Source organism: Homo sapiens, chromosome 2 (assembly GCF_000001405.40).
Source record: "Homo sapiens chromosome 2, GRCh38.p14 Primary Assembly".
In the NCBI taxonomy this organism is placed as follows: domain Eukaryota; kingdom Metazoa; phylum Chordata; class Mammalia; order Primates; family Hominidae; genus Homo; species Homo sapiens.
Window position 1 is genome coordinate 46,343,372 of NC_000002.12, and position 15,353 is coordinate 46,358,724.

Consider the following 15,353-nt stretch of genomic DNA (forward strand, 5'->3'; position numbering starts at 1 on the left):
AGGTTGTGGGAAAGTATCAACACAGCACAGGGAACATCAAAGTTGTACAGTAAATGATAGTCTCCTTGCTGCCAATGGAAAAACTTTTGATCTTGGACCCAGAAGAACTAGGTTTGAGACAATGTTTTTAGCAAATTATTTAATCTCTCTAAATCTCCACATCCTCATCTATTAAATGGAGATGATAGTTTCTATCTCTCAGGGTTGTGAGAATCAAATGAGATAACACATGTTAAGAAGAAGTGCTTTCTGTAAAGGCATTATTATTTGTCCTTTTAGGTTCAGCTGAAATCCCACCTCCCTGACTTTTGAACCAAGAGGCTGCCTAAGATTCTCAATCTTCCTTTTTCTGGAAGCTAAGGTGTTGCTGTTTCTTTATTTCTTGCCAAAGCCACTATCTCCTACAGTTAAGCAGTGAAAAGAGTATTCGCCTAGGAAGAGCAGGGTTCTAGCCCTAGCTCTGCCACTGATTAGCTGGGTTGCTCTAGGCAAGTAACTTACCTGCTCAAGTGTCTGTTTCCAGATCTGTGAAAGGGGAACAGTGACAGTACCTGTCTTGCCTACCTCACTTGGTTGCAAGGATGGAATTAGATAGGGATCCCCTGTGTGTTTCCGGACTTCTAAGTGTCTGCTCACTGACTATAAACCCTTAAATGGCTTATGTAGGCATTGGCTTTGTGACATTGGGCAAATGACATATTATTTCTGAGCGTCAGTTTCCACATCTCTAAACTGTGTAAACAATACCTACTTTATTTTGTTGTTAGGAAGAGTATAATGAACTAATATATGAAAGGTTTTTGATAGAGCACCAGGCACAAAAAGCACAGCAAGACTCATATATCAGATGCCATTGTCAGAGCATTGACTCCAGATTGCCTTTTCCCTACCTGGCTTTTCCTCTCTGCCTCTTCTTCGAGGAAGGGGCCAATGGCAGAGGGAAGCTTTGTGCATGCAGATATTGGCGTTAATGCCATAGCCTGTGCTGGGATTGCTTTTGCTTCAGGATGGCTTCCCTTGGCCCCTGATGACGAGGTTATGTGTTGATGATGCTTTTGTTGGAGAGCACAAGGGTTAGTAATGAAATCCAGCATCTTTCACCTGACCCTCCTGATCCAAAGGCATGATGTGTGCGGTTTCAGCATCCTGCCCTCTTCCCATCTTCCTTTCCTGTGCCAGAATACTTGCAATTCTTTAACTTTTTCTCCACAATCAGGTCAGGATTAAAATGCACGTGGGAGGGACTAATATAAAAACTGCCACTAAAGGTCTAATCAGGGCAAGTCCTGAGAAGGTGGGGAAAGGGGGGTGCAGGGGTAGGTGTCCTGAAGGTTGGAAGTCAGGGAGAGAGGGAAACAGGGATTAGATAAAGGAAGCAGAGAAGGGAGACATGACGAGAAAAATAGTTTCACTCATTTCACAATTTTTCTGAAGGTTCTTCTTGACCATCAACAGCTGTTGGACGATTCATCCTTTAATCCGAGTATATGATGCTTAATCCATCCACGGAGCTGGATAGTCTGTCTTTTTAAATGAAGTATGTTGTAAAATCAAAACAGTGCTTCTGCCCCAAATCTTGAGGGATTTGAGAGGCATGCTCACATTCCATGAATCCCAAAATACAGATTTTCTGTCCAAATAGCAGGCTGCAAAGCCAAACAAAAGGAGAAGCAGCCTCTGGGATCTCAGATGGCAGGACAGAACGAGCCAGCTAGAGCTGATTGGATTGAGGCCTTGAAACCTATGAACTTCGCTGGATGCTTTTTTATTTTATCTTATTTATATTTTTATAGAGACAGGGTCTCACTATATTGCCCGGGCTGGTCTTGAACTCCTGGGCCCAGGTGATTCTCCCATCTGGGACTACAGGTCCAAATACTACCATGCCTGGCTTAGATGCTTTTTAAAAAAATAAAAAACATACTTGTTTCTTCATTAAATACGCAATATAGGTTATTTATAGAAACACAAGAAAATACAGATAAGCATTACAAAGCAAAACAAAAACCAAAAAAACTCCCTTTAACCTCACTACCATGCAACTGCTAACATTTTTGAGTAGAAGGAGACAGGACAGTCATTGGTGGTTAAGTGCCATGATTCTGGGGCCCACCTTCCCAGTGCAAAGCCCGACTTCCCCATTTACCTGCTGGAGGCCACAGGTAAATTACTTGGCCTCTATGGGGCAGTTTCCTCATATGTAAATTAGGTATAATAATAATAATAATAATGCCTACTTCCAAGGGCAGTTGTGTGAGTTTAAATAAGCCAAGGTAGTACTGCTTAAAACAGTCCTTGTAAGCACTATGTCTGTGATACCTATAATAATAGTTATTATGCATCTAGCCTTTCTCCTATATAATTTATAGGAAGTATTATGTATAATACATTTCTGTGAAAATAGAATTGTCCTGTACTGTTTTGTAACTTTTTAACTCTTATGATTGTCTTTTCATGGCCATCTTTTTAATTAGTATTAGCTAACATTGATTGCTTACAGTTGGAACAGGCTTAGTGCTAAAGATTTTACATAAATTATCACATTTAGTCCTCACAGTTAACTCTGTAGGGTAAGCACTATTGTTACCATTTTACAGATGAGGAGACTGAGGCTAAGCAGTTTAAATGATTTATTTACAGAGCTAACAAGCAGAGAAGTTAGAACTCCAATCTAAACATTCTGGCTTTTAAATATTGCCCGTGCTAGAACTTGCCATGGACTTTATAAGAAAGTCCAGGATTTCTTTAGGACTTCTAAAAGAGGCAGGCTTCAGTGCGTGTCATCTTTCGTTCCATCCTGCAGCAAAGAGGAGAATGAGGCTGAGACAGCCTGGCAACCTATGCTGGCAGGGCTTAGAGAGAAAATGTTTGTGCCCACTCCTTTTTAATCCTTGACAGAACGCACGTTGGTACTCTAGACTGTTGGGTGTCTGGCTAACTGTTCTGGGGCTGTAATGGCATTTTCAGTTTTTACTGTGGAAATCACTTTCTGGTATGAAGCGGGATCTAGGGTTCAGTACTACTCTTAATTTTTTCTGATTGTGTCTTATGCAGAAAAAGAACCTTAAAGCAGTTTTTTTATCTTGTTCTCCAGAGCCCTTGACAAAGCCATCTGAGCCACTGATCATAGCTTCCTTACCCTTCTCTTTCCATCCCTGGACATTCACCCCTATCCCCAGATATTCCAGGGCTAGGTCCCAGGCATTGGTAGTTAATTTAATCAGCCAGTCTTTGCCCAGACTCCACCCATGTGAAGCCCTGTTCTGGCCTCCACAGGGAATGCAAGAGGAGGACTTTGGTTGTGAAGACACCAACACACACAAAAGCAGAGCTAACAATACAAAGCAGGTTGTGTGTGGCTCAGACAACTGGTGTGAGCCCAGATCAGTCTAGTAAGGGAGTGTGGCTGCACTGGGGGTTGGGGCCATGGGGATGTCCTGGCCAGAGGTATGATAGGCTGACAGTAACCTTTCCGGGACTAACCCCTTCTTCTCCACTTAGGAGTAGCTCGGAGAGGAGGAAGGAGAAGTCCCGGGATGCTGCGCGGTGCCGGCGGAGCAAGGAGACGGAGGTGTTCTATGAGCTGGCCCATGAGCTGCCTCTGCCCCACAGTGTGAGCTCCCATCTGGACAAGGCCTCCATCATGCGACTGGCAATCAGCTTCCTGCGAACACACAAGCTCCTCTCCTCAGGTAAGGCCAGCAGGCTCCCCTAGGCTGGGCAGATGCCAGCCTTACCAGCATGTTCCTATATGCAGGGGACCCTTCTGCTGCCAGAGCTGGAAAGTCACCCCACTACAGAACTTTCACCCACAGAAACACCATCATGAGTGATTTATTCCTTCATGTTAAACATCTCTCTTCCAGCAGTGACCTTTACCGTGAATCCAGCTGTGAGAGGAGGGCAGGGACAGGACCAGGGAAGAACATGGGCACCCAGAGGCTGTGGAGAACACGGGCTGGGAGAACCAAGGACGGCTTTTGCTGACTTCTCAATTTGTTGCCATCTGGCCATAAGACCCATCCTCCACACTAGATTGAGTCCGCAGGAAGCATTCTAATCCTTAACTTCCAGTGCCTTCTCCAGAACAGCAAGAAGGTGTGCCCGGATGATCTTTTCCCTCTGAGAAGCCAGTTAGGCCAAGTAAATCATTTAGTCTCTCTGAACATTGGTTTCCTCGTGTATAAAATGGGGTTAAACATACTTCTTGCCCAGGGTGTCGGTGAGAATGGACTGAAATGATGTCCATAAAGCACCTGGCCTGGCTGAGCTCACTCACACTGGGGAGTCCTTGACATCACCCCTCCCTCGGAAAATAACTGGTTCTCCCCTCCCTAGCACCTCTGCAACTCCAAAGTTCACAAGACATTTGCTTTTTCTCAGTTACATTCTTCAAGAAACCATTTCCTATGCGTCCTGACCAGAAACAGGTGTCTTGAGTAGTCTTCTGGTTTCAGATCCTAGGTGACATTCTCGTCAGGGGTGTCAGTTCTGTAAGGACGCTGGGCAACGAGTTGTGCTCCTCCCCACCTGGTCTGGTGCCACAGGTGGGGACAGTGTCTGACGGGTGAGCATGAGGGAGGCACTCAGGGAGGGAAGGTTCTTTTGTGGTTGTTTTTCAGTTTTCCGGAGTAAGCCTGGTGCCTTGGAGACGGTGGACTCCGCCATCCTGTTATGAAGTGGCTATTCTGGGAAAGAGGGAATCCAGTGTGAGGCTGGGAGGCCAGACCAGAATGTACTATTCTGGTCCCTGTAGTACAGGAAGGATATGGGGGACAGACTTTCAGAAAATAGGACGACAGCTCAGTGGGCCTGGGGTTGGAGGGCTAGGCCTAAAGAGGCGAAATGTGCAGACAAGAGCAGGAGAGCCAAGGGGGAAGATATGCTCCATAAATACTTTCAAAGAACAATGCAAGACAATGGCAGATACATGATCCTAGATGCTGCAAAGAGAGAACAGTGGGCTGAGCCCTGGCAAGGCTTGGATTGCTGGATATAAGAAAGGCTGGGAGACTCCATCACAGGGCATTTGTGTACCCCTCCCTTTAAAAAGGCTTGTCTTACTGGATAACTGAGGGCCAAGTTGGCTAATGTTGCAATCATCTTTACATAAAAAGAGTAGACAGTGGAGGATTTAATGACTGGATGGAGGCCCCTTCCCCACAGTGAGAACCCTCTCCCCTGCTTTCCTGCTGTGGTACTTGAGATTTTGCTCTTAGACATTAATTCCTTTGGATTAATCATTGCTTCTTTCATCACCACTCCCAATTCCTCCACCCACACAAAGCCCCAGAAGGGGTAATACAGGTTGAGTATCCCTTATCCGAAATGCTTGGGAGCAGAAGTGCTTTTGATTTTTTAATTTTTTCAGATTTTGGAATGCTTGCATTGTATTTATCAGTTGAGCATCCCTAACCCAAAAATCTGAAATTTGAAATGGTCCAATGAGCATTTCCTTTGAATGTTGTGTTGGATTTTGGAGCATTTCAGATTTCAGGTTTTCAGATTAGGGACAGTCAACCTGTATATTAATTGTAGAATGCCTCTGACTAAATTTGGACTCGTTGTGTTTCTCCTTATTTCACAGATAAGTGAAGCACAGACAGGTTAAGATTGCTCAAAGTCACACATTTAGCACATGGTGAACCTGCACCTGGAATTCAAGTCCTTTTGAATTTTGGTCCATGGGAAAACAGACATGGGACAGCAAGAGCATTTTGTAAACCTGGTCAGGCAAAGATGCTGACAAGGGCTGGGGTATGGGGTGTGGGGGAAGGGAGAAGGTAGGGGAACAAAGGTCAACAGAAGCAGCTGGGGGCCAGCGTGATGGGGAGGAGGTCCTCACACATTCAGAGAGTTGTCCTGTCCTTCCCCCTAGTGCAGGGCTTCGTTTTGCATGCTTGCCCTCCTGAGCCTGGCTGTCCATCTCAGTGGTTCAAAGGTTGGCCTCGAAAAGGCCACGAGTTAGGCTGGACTCCCTGAGCACATCTACCTGTGTGTGTTCTGGTGTGAGCCCTCATGTGCTGATGGGAACCCCTGTGTGCTAAACACACCCACAGAGATAGGACCAGAGTGGCCACAGTGGGACATCCCATATCTATCCCATCTCCGGAGCCTGTTGAAAGTTGTGGACACAAACTTGCCTGCCCTCTGGCTGGGCTCGGCCCTAGACCAGCTAGAGCCTTTAGCCTGTCAGCTCTGGTCCTCTCTGTCCCAAGGAAAGAAATGAAGGAAAAGGATAAAAAGTTTCTACTTTTGGCCATGTGGTCCTGATGTCCTTGAAGGAGAAATTCTCACCAAACGAGCACAGCCCAGGGAGGAGGAGATGGTTTCTCAGCACCCGCTTTTCTCTGACTTCTCTCCCAGGCTCCTGCCACACATTCGCTAGACTGATTGTTAAGTTATTTTCAGAAATTGTAAGACAAGATCTTTTTCTTTCTAAATCGTATTTTGCTTTTCCAACACATGTAGCGTTATGAAGAGGAGTACGGGATTTGTGGGCAGATAGACCTGCATTGGAATCTTAGTTTGGCTGCCTTCTTTCTCTGCAATGTAGTAAAAATTTCTCTTTGAGCTTTAGTTTCCTCATCTGCACAAAGGGAATAATGGTGCTTACCCTGCAATGTTATTTGGGGATTGAGATAACAGATATAAAAGGCCTTATCCTCTAGCCTGCCACATATTAAGCTCTCAATAAGTTATAGCTTAGAAATAAAAATTATTATGAACAAATATATTGATTTATATTAAATATAGGCTTCTGGAGAAATGATGTAAAAGAAAACCCAGTGTAAATTCTTACTATCCTCTAACCTACTTTCTAGCAATTTCTATCAAAATGCAGAGTCGTCAAACTTTTCCAAGGCAAAACAACCCACACATTCATTATTTAAGCATTTCTAACAAAGGTGAGTACCAATTTTGGCTCACTTTATAATAGGAAATAGCTGGTTGCATACCTCAAAGTTCAAAAGGCTAAAAAATACCAGGTTTTTCTTTAGAAAAGTTTCTCTTTACTTAGTAACACGTTTCCCTTTGATTTTCACAGTAGGCTGTTCTGTGTGGGAATGTTGGAGAGGAAACCTCAACGTTGAGAAATTCAGGCTGTGGGTCTGGGCTGCCGATTGAGATTCGTATCACAGGAAGCAAACTGAAACAATAGCTTTATGATATTAGCTGCCACGCTGGGCTGAGGACAGAACACACTCTTACAGGAACATCGGTGGAAATGCCACTTGATTGTCCTAAATCCTCTTTCAAGATGAGCCCCACAAACCATGAGCGAATCAGGGTCAACTCTGCATTCTGAGGGCATTAAACCGCAGTGAATATACAAAATTTGCTTTTCATTGTAAAACTGAATTTTGGGCTTGCCCAAACTCATACATGGCGAAATCAAATTCATTTTCCATGGACCTGGAGATCAGCGTGAAGCAAGGTTTCTAAAGAGAAGTGTCAGTTGCATTATGGATTCATCATCATTTGCTTAGCGAAGACATCAGTTATAACAAGAGATTATATTTTCCTGATCTCTAGACTACTAAGGGAAGGATATTAAAATGTGAGACAAGTGATTTTAAAGTTTTTAAGGCTTGATATGACCTTTCCATGCAGGAAAAGTGGGACAAAGAAAGAATTGTGGAGGCAGATATATGTTCTGGTACCCTCTCACACCCCACTTTCAGACTTCTTTTCCCAGGCTTTCACTCCTACCTCCACCCCTTTGTCCCACCCACTCCAAATCAAGGCCTTTTTCTGTCCTGTTTGGAAAGAACTCAATAAGCTGATTCATGTGAGGATGTTAATGGGTGAGAACAGCTAATATACAGTCTCTTCTAGAGATACTGACTTTGTTCAGATCATTCCTTTAACTTAAACTAAAAAGTCTCGTCAGTCAACAGGTGTTTGCTGAACCCAGTCCTGTACTACATCAAGGGTAATACAGAGAGGCAAGATAGGATAGTAAGATACATGCAAAGAACAAAGGCATGAATCTCTCCTAGTGGACTTTCAGGACTCTCAGGGAGCCCAGGAAGATCAGGAAGGACACAGTGCCTTCTGTCAAAGGCATCAGAGGAGCCCAGGCCTGCTAATGGTGGCATTTAAAGGTATGGCTAAGGATCCAGTAAGCGATCCCAGAGTGATTTCCCTGTGGCTTGACTGGCACTGCTCTTGCAGTCTGCACATCCGGGAGGGCGGGGTTTGAGGGGCCAGGCTGTGGGTCAGGTGGAGGGGAGGAATCAGTTTAGGCAGAGCCTTAGAAGGAAGGCCCCTGTGGTGGTCACAAAGTGGTAACTGCCAAGCACATCTGAACCAGGAAGACCCCATCAGAATGGCTTTAAGAACAGTCAGAGCAGTCCTGGAACTTCTCGGAGTAGGAAACAAGAGGCAAAGCGACCTTGGTGGAATAAAAGTGCAGCCAGCATTCTGACCAGCAGCACCGTGGGGCAGCCTGGTCTCTGAGACCACTCAGGAGCCTCTGCTCTGCCACTCTGCCTGCTCTCTCCCAATGCACAGCCCCTGCTGCCCAGGAAGTCCCACCCCACATGGGCGGTGCTGCCTGAAGGAAATGAGCGTTGCTCCGGAAAAAGTGCTCCAAAACCTCAGCCCGCGCATATCCTGGCTGTGGGGAGTCATCAAAGCCTGTTTACCGGGGCTATTTTTAGCATTAAAGAATCTTGTTATGCTCCCCAGGACGGGCATGCACTTTCTCAGCAGAGCACCTCTGGTTTTAATGAGCCATCTCTCGTCTTTGGGGTCAGACCCTGAAGGGTCCTCGGAAGCAAGTAACTGAGATCTGGAGCCCAGGATGATTTACAGACCCACTTGGTGGCTTATTGAGCACCTACTCTGGGCTCCTCACTTTGTTCTGACCAAGAGTTGATGCTGGATTGTGGCATCACCTTACAGCAGTTTATCTGTCTTCCCCACCAGTCTGTCGATTCCGAGGGAAGGAACTGCCCTTACACCTTTCAGTATCCCTGATTCTCCTTAAGACAGGACTGAGCACACAGTAAGTGACACTTCTGGACAGATTACCTTGTGCCTAGCATAAAGCAGACATGAACACAGTAGAAACTTAATAATGGTGTAGGGAGCGCGTGCATTTTCCCATGTCCGTAACACTGAGTAGGATATTAATGGTACGTCAGGGAAGACACGATGTTCATAGGGGAAGAGGCAGAAGGGTCTTCAGCAGATTTGTGACATGAGCCTCCACGGTGAGGGGCTACCTCCTGGCTCCCCAGTTTTCACTCTCAGCTCCAAGCTGGGAGTGACCTGGCCAGGTTCCTTCAGAAGCTCCCAGGAGAACAAGCAGGTGCTGTGAGGGCAACTAGTTCCACAGAGGGAAGAGACCCTGTCCCGGCCCTGCCGTCACAGGGTCCCTGGGGCCAACCTGCTGGCTTCCTGGTCCTCCAGCCATTGTGACCGCAGTCCCAAGACATTCTGTTACCCTTCGTGGCCCTAGATTGCCCCTCTCCCTCCCGGAGGCCAGCTGACCCGATGCTGCTGTAGCCGATTTCGCCACCTCCTGGAAGCAAATGCACTGGGCATGGGTGGAAACCAGTTTGGCTGTGTTGGAACTGTTAAAAACAGGAAATTTTAAGCAGGACTATTTCCTCTGGGACTAGTTAACCCAAATAGGGTTGTCTTGGGATTACTTCAGATTTTGAAGTCAGCGTTACCACTGAGATCAAAGAAATTGAAGAGAAAATATCTTCTCGGTTGGCTAGAAACCACAGGGTTGGCCTCTGTGTATCTACAGAAGGTGGTCACCTATCTGGTGTGATTGAAGTGGCGCTGAAAACCTCTCCTCACTCATCTCCAAAATAAGTCACCACCTGCCAGCACAGGGTAATTAAGGTCACTCGTAGGATCTTTGAGTTGAGGCCATAGCTCTCAGCATGTGGTCCTATGAGTAGCAGGGTCAGCGTCACCTGGGAACTTTTTAGAAAAACAGATTCTCAGTTCTACTGAACCAGGAACCCAGCAGGGGCCCGTCCAGGGCCAGCTTCATGGGCGTGCAGCACAGGCAGTCTTAGAGGGCGCCACACTTAGAAAGTTCTCAGGCTTGGTTTAATTTTTCCAATGAGAGGTCTCACATTTTTATTTTGCACTGGGCCACGCAAATTATGTAGCAGTGCTGGTCTCAGAAATGTTTCTTTCAGCCTGGCCTATAGATGATTCTGATGCATACTCAAATTTGAAAGCACTGAGTTAAGTCATTTTCTCCCCTAAAGCCCCTGTTCAAATGAAGATTTTAGCTGGGAAAGCTAACATTCACAGTGGCATCGCCCACACCTGGGACATTGCATCATCGCTTCAGCGGGCTGATGAGCTGGCAGAGAACAGGTGTATCAGCAGAAACCCCAAGCAGGGATCAGGTGTGCGTATGTGTATGGTGTAAGGTCATTCCCATGACCTGTGGTTCTCCCCTCTCCAGGCTAGCCGCCTGAACCAGGGTGTGCAGAGGAAAGAATTTCCCTTGTTTCACCATTTTAGCAGAACAGAGGGAAAGCCACCGGGGCATTACTCTGTACAACCCAACTCTTGGCTCTGAAGCCTTGCCCATCCCCGGACAGGACCCACTGTGATCCTCTGCAAAAGGCATCTGTGACTCTGGCGTGTTCTCTGATCCTGTGTCCTGAAAGATAGCTGGTCCCCTTTGCCTTCACTGAAGCCTCTTGGTAGGAAGATCTTGTAATGTGGATTTGTTCTTCTTGAGGAATAACAGCAGGTAACCCAAAGCTTAAATTTAGAGGCTCCAGGAAAAAGATAAAAGAGAAACCCAGTTCCCTTGCAGAAAGGCCCTTGAACGACATTTCACAGCATTGATGTGTCCCTGGCCAAGTGGCCCATAAATTGAATTGCATTCTACATTCCTTAGAATAGTCTCCATTTGGAAGACTCCTTTTAGTTCAGTGAATGTTAATGTTTGCAACTGACATATTACTCTCATCCACTTGTTCTGTAAATCAAGTGAGGCATATTTTGATTGATGTTTGCACTGGATAAATACAAATTTTCATAAGTAAATGTCTTTGGAGTTAAATAATGAACTAGGAGAAGAGGGCTGAAATAAAGTCTGTGGTTTGTGTATAACAACCAAAGGCCTGGGGCCTAAGAGGTTTCTTTTGGTCTGGGACAAGAGCCGAGTCTATATTTTTCAGATAGCAGAGGTATACTAGATAGGGCAGGATACTCAAAGTGTGGGTGGTTCCGGGTGGAAGTTTTCCTAGGCTGCACCCAGCAACCACCTGTACGGCCTGCTGAGAATGCAGTTGCCTGCTCACTCTGTTTTGCACCTCTGGGCTTCACTCTCTCCAAACCATTCTGTACGCCATTGCCAGACTAATCTCCCCAAAGCAGTGCTTTGAGATGCACTCCTCTGATCACATTTGCTTGACATGTGAGGCCCCTCCAGGACACTGGGCCTGCCTCACCAGCCCAATCTCTGAGACTGGGAAATGGATTCTCTTCTTCAGCCAGATGGGCCTCTCTTCAGTCCTAGGACTGAAGCTTGCTCCAGGTGTTTTCCAGTGTTCACACAATCCCGTCTGGTTCAGAAGGCCCTTCTTGCATTCCACAGAGTGAAATCTGTTTTTTCTAAGACTCTTCAAATCTTCTTTGCAACAGTTAGTTGTCTGTGATCACCCCAAAGCGACCCCCTCGTCCTCTGACCCCTTAGAGCTCTTCCCATCTACACTTTTCCTTGGGAGCCCAGCTATGACACCCTTGAACTTTTATTTAGCTTTGCATCTCTGAGTGCTACATATTCCTCACCTGGGATCTGAGCAATTTGAGGGTAGTGCATGTCTTGGAGCAGAAAGAAGAAAGAATTTACTGTTCTTATAGTTTTAGGCACTTTACGTACTTATCCTTACAATTCAGAGATGGAAATTGTTATTCCCATTTAGCTGATGAGGAAAGTGATATCCAAAGAGGTTGTTACTTATCCAGAGTCATAGCCTAATAGGAGGCTGATCTAGGAATAGAACCTGTGTTTAACTCCAAAGCCTATGAATGGTTGAGTGTGGCTTCTGGATTCAGCTGTCAAAGCTTGCTAGCTTTGCAATCTTTATACCTTTGGACAAATGGCTTAACCTCTCTACACTTCATCTGTAAAATGAGATTAAGAATAGTAGCTACCTCGTCGGTCACTGTGAAGATTACATAGCATGCTTAGTGCAGTACCTTTCATGTAGTAATTGCAGTATATATTAGCAGCTAAAATTTGTTCCTACTACTACGACTACCATTATATTCAGGCATACTTTGATTGATGTTTGCACTGGATAAATACAGATTTTCATAAGTAAATGTCTTTGGAGATAAATAATGAACTAGGAGAAGAGGGCTAGAGGGCTGAAATAAAGTCTATGGTCTGTGTATAACAGCCAAAGGCCTGGGGCCTAAAAGGTTTTTGTGGTCTGGGACAAGAGCTGAGTCTATAGGCTGTACAGGTGGTTGCTGGGGGCAGCTTGGGAAAACTTCCACCCTGAACCACTCACACAGCAGCTCCTACTGCTCTCATTACTAGTGCCAGAAGTACTGTTGTCACAACAAGCACACTGTCCTCACAGCTCCCGTCAGGGTGTCCTCTGTGCAGTGGTGCCTGCTGCCAGGCGGAGGCAGACATTCAGATGGTTGGCAGTATGCGTTTCCAGAAAAGTCCACCCAATGCCTTTGCACCATCCCTGGCAAATGCCTATCTGTGCCAGTCCCATCTGTTTTCACTCCACATTCATGCAAGCTGTCCCACCCCCCCCCCTTTCCAGTTTGCTCTGAAAACGAGTCCGAAGCCGAAGCTGACCAGCAGATGGACAACTTGTACCTGAAAGCCTTGGAGGGTTTCATTGCCGTGGTGACCCAAGATGGCGACATGATCTTTCTGTCAGAAAACATCAGCAAGTTCATGGGACTTACACAGGTGACACCCTCCTCTATCTCTTTCAAAAGAAGAAATGTTTCCATTTGGGGGTAGAAATGAGTGGAAGGTGCTAGCCACAATCCCACTTGACCTCTCCCTGCAAATGCCCACGGTGACCCTCGCTGACCTCAGGCCACACGCCTCAGGCCACGCTCCCACCCCCAAGCATTGGGTTTGGCTTTGCTCATGTCCATCCTGGTAGACAGCTCTCTACTGACTCATTAACAGACCAAGTCTCTGTCATCATCAGTAGTCCCCGATTACATCTTTCTGTCTGTGGACCTGACACTGGACTGGGATTATGAGAAAACCCAATTCAGTCTCCTCCCTGCCTCCAAATCTGGAAGGTGGCTCAGCTTACTCTTGGAGTCTTTTACTTCACTGTTAGGAATAATGATGCCTAACCTTGTTTTTGAAACAGGTGGAGCTAACAGGACATAGTATCTTTGACTTCACTCATCCCTGCGACCATGAGGAGATTCGTGAGAACCTGAGTCTCAAAAATGGTATCCTTAATTGTGTTTACTTCCTTCTTGCCCCCACTGGGTGGGAATCTGCCTCCCCTTTGTCTACGGGTATAAGGGAGATAGCTCATGGCCCTTGTGATGCAGGAAAAATGGATGTCCTTAAAAAATTTAAGTATGTAGCCTGTGAGATGAGATTGGGGCATTGAGAGGATCCAGTACTCAGAAATATCTCCTGCTGGCCCTGCATGGTGCCTGGTGTCCCACTACTAGGGGACACCTTTGGGTTAGGACACTGTCTCTAGGAGGTTTCATCACCCAAGAGTCAAGCATCTCTGCCAAATGACACCACCCAAACCAATGAGGAACTAGTCTGTGCCAAAGTGCTCATAGTAACTACTGTAGTTATCTATTGCTGTCTAACAAACCACCTATAACATAGGGCTTTGATGATTATCTCCCAGGGTTCTGTGGGTTCAGTGGGTGGGTCTTGTACTCCATGTGATGTCAGCTGGGCTGCAGTCATCTGGGGGCCAGACTAGGCTGGGGTGATCAGGATAGCTCACACACGTCTGGGACCTTGTGGCAGGTGGCTGGAACCCTGGACTCAGTTGGCATGCTGGGACAACAGGACTGTTCTCTCACTCTATGGAGACTCAGAGACTCTCCCTCTCCATATGGTGTCTCTAGGGTAGCCAGACATCTTACGTGGCAGTTTAGGGCTCCCAGAAGCACTAAAGTGGAAGCTGCCAGGCCTTCTGAAGGCTTTGTCCCCAGATTGGCAGAGCATCACTTCTGCCCCATCTTGTTGGTTAGAGCATGTTACAGGCCAGCCCTGGCTCATTGTGGGAGGAAACTACACGAAGCCATGAGTGTCAAAAGGCATGGCTTGTTGGAGCTACTTTTGGAGAAGAGCTACCACAGGAAATGGTACCCTGATGAGACGCAGGTCAAGTAGGTTTTGATGGAGAAGAGGTTTAAAAAGATGTAGCATTCAGGACCTTACCCATGGGGATACCCAGCAGGTGCCAGTAGATGAGAGGACCCACACAGGCAGAAAGCACGTTGCAATGGTTGCAATGGCAGTGGAGCTTCCTGTCTTGTAACTGTGGCCATTCAACAAAGGCATGAATAGGGACATTGTTAAGAGGACTGAAGCTTTGGTCAGAATTGGGGCTTAATGACTGTCAAGGTCCCTTCCAAACCTGAGATTCTGTCACTGGTCTGGGGAGATTCTGTGCATGTCTAGATGTCCTCTTTAACAACCTCACCTGTCACTGCCATGGGGCTTGTGCTTGTCCAGCCTGAATAACAGAGGCAGTGAGGCTAAGCCTACAAGGTTTGGCTCTTATTACCACACACGCTGCAAAAACAGACACTTCATTGGCTCACCTCCACCCTATTACAGACTGAGTCTGCAGTCCACATTTGGGCCTGCAAAGTACAGAATCACAACCACCTCCTCTTCTACCACTGCCACAGCTCCCTCACCCAGCTCCTCTGCTCTCTCTTCTGCAGGCCTTAGACCACCTGGGTCCTAGGGTACACTGGCAGAGAGCACCCTGTAGGCTGCTCAGTGTCTTGTCTGGTTCTGTGGGGAAAGGGCTACCAGACTTTCTAAAGCTCTCTAAAAAGAGGATTCATGTTCTGCATGGGTAGGTGCTTGAAGCCTGAGAAAGCCTGAGAAAACCAAAGACTGATTTCTTCTGTACTCCAGAAACCCTTTGGCCTTTGGGTTCTTAGTGTCAGTTCAGCCACTGACCATAGTCTGAGTTTGAGTCTGTGACCAGAAGCAAGTACCCTACTTCTCTGTTCCTCAGAGTCTTTCTTTTCAAATTGATGGTATTGGACTAGGCAAAGGCGACAACCTTTCAGTTCTCAAGTGCCATGATTCACAGCCAAGTGACCTCTAATTATCTGAGTAGAACTTTAGATCTCTTGATCTGCATATTGAGGAC

At 46.4% G+C, this 15,353-nt stretch overlaps 1 protein-coding gene across 2 annotated transcripts in view, besides 1 other annotated feature; it reads left to right on the forward strand.

Moving 5' to 3' along the window:
* EPAS1 (endothelial PAS domain protein 1) overlaps positions 1-15,353 on the forward strand; it is an 89,291-nt gene that overhangs the window by 45,965 nt on the left and 27,973 nt on the right. For both annotated transcript variants that reach the window (NM_001430.5, XM_011532698.3), the window contains exons 2-4: positions 3,502-3,692; positions 12,780-12,931; positions 13,353-13,437. In NM_001430.5, coding sequence (NP_001421.2) covers positions 3,502-3,692; positions 12,780-12,931; positions 13,353-13,437 — 428 coding nt within the window. The remainder of the gene's footprint in view (positions 1-3,501; positions 3,693-12,779; positions 12,932-13,352; positions 13,438-15,353) is intronic.
* Positions 8,439-8,733: an enhancer, noted in NCBI's record as "tiled region #14137; HepG2 Activating non-DNase unmatched - State 17:Gen3', and K562 Activating non-DNase unmatched - State 23:Low". NCBI's record gives its function as "activates a minimal TATA promoter and a strong SV40 promoter by Sharpr-MPRA in HepG2 and K562 cells {active_cell/tissue: HepG2 | K562}" and the evidence as "EXISTENCE:reporter gene assay evidence [ECO:0000049][PMID:27701403]".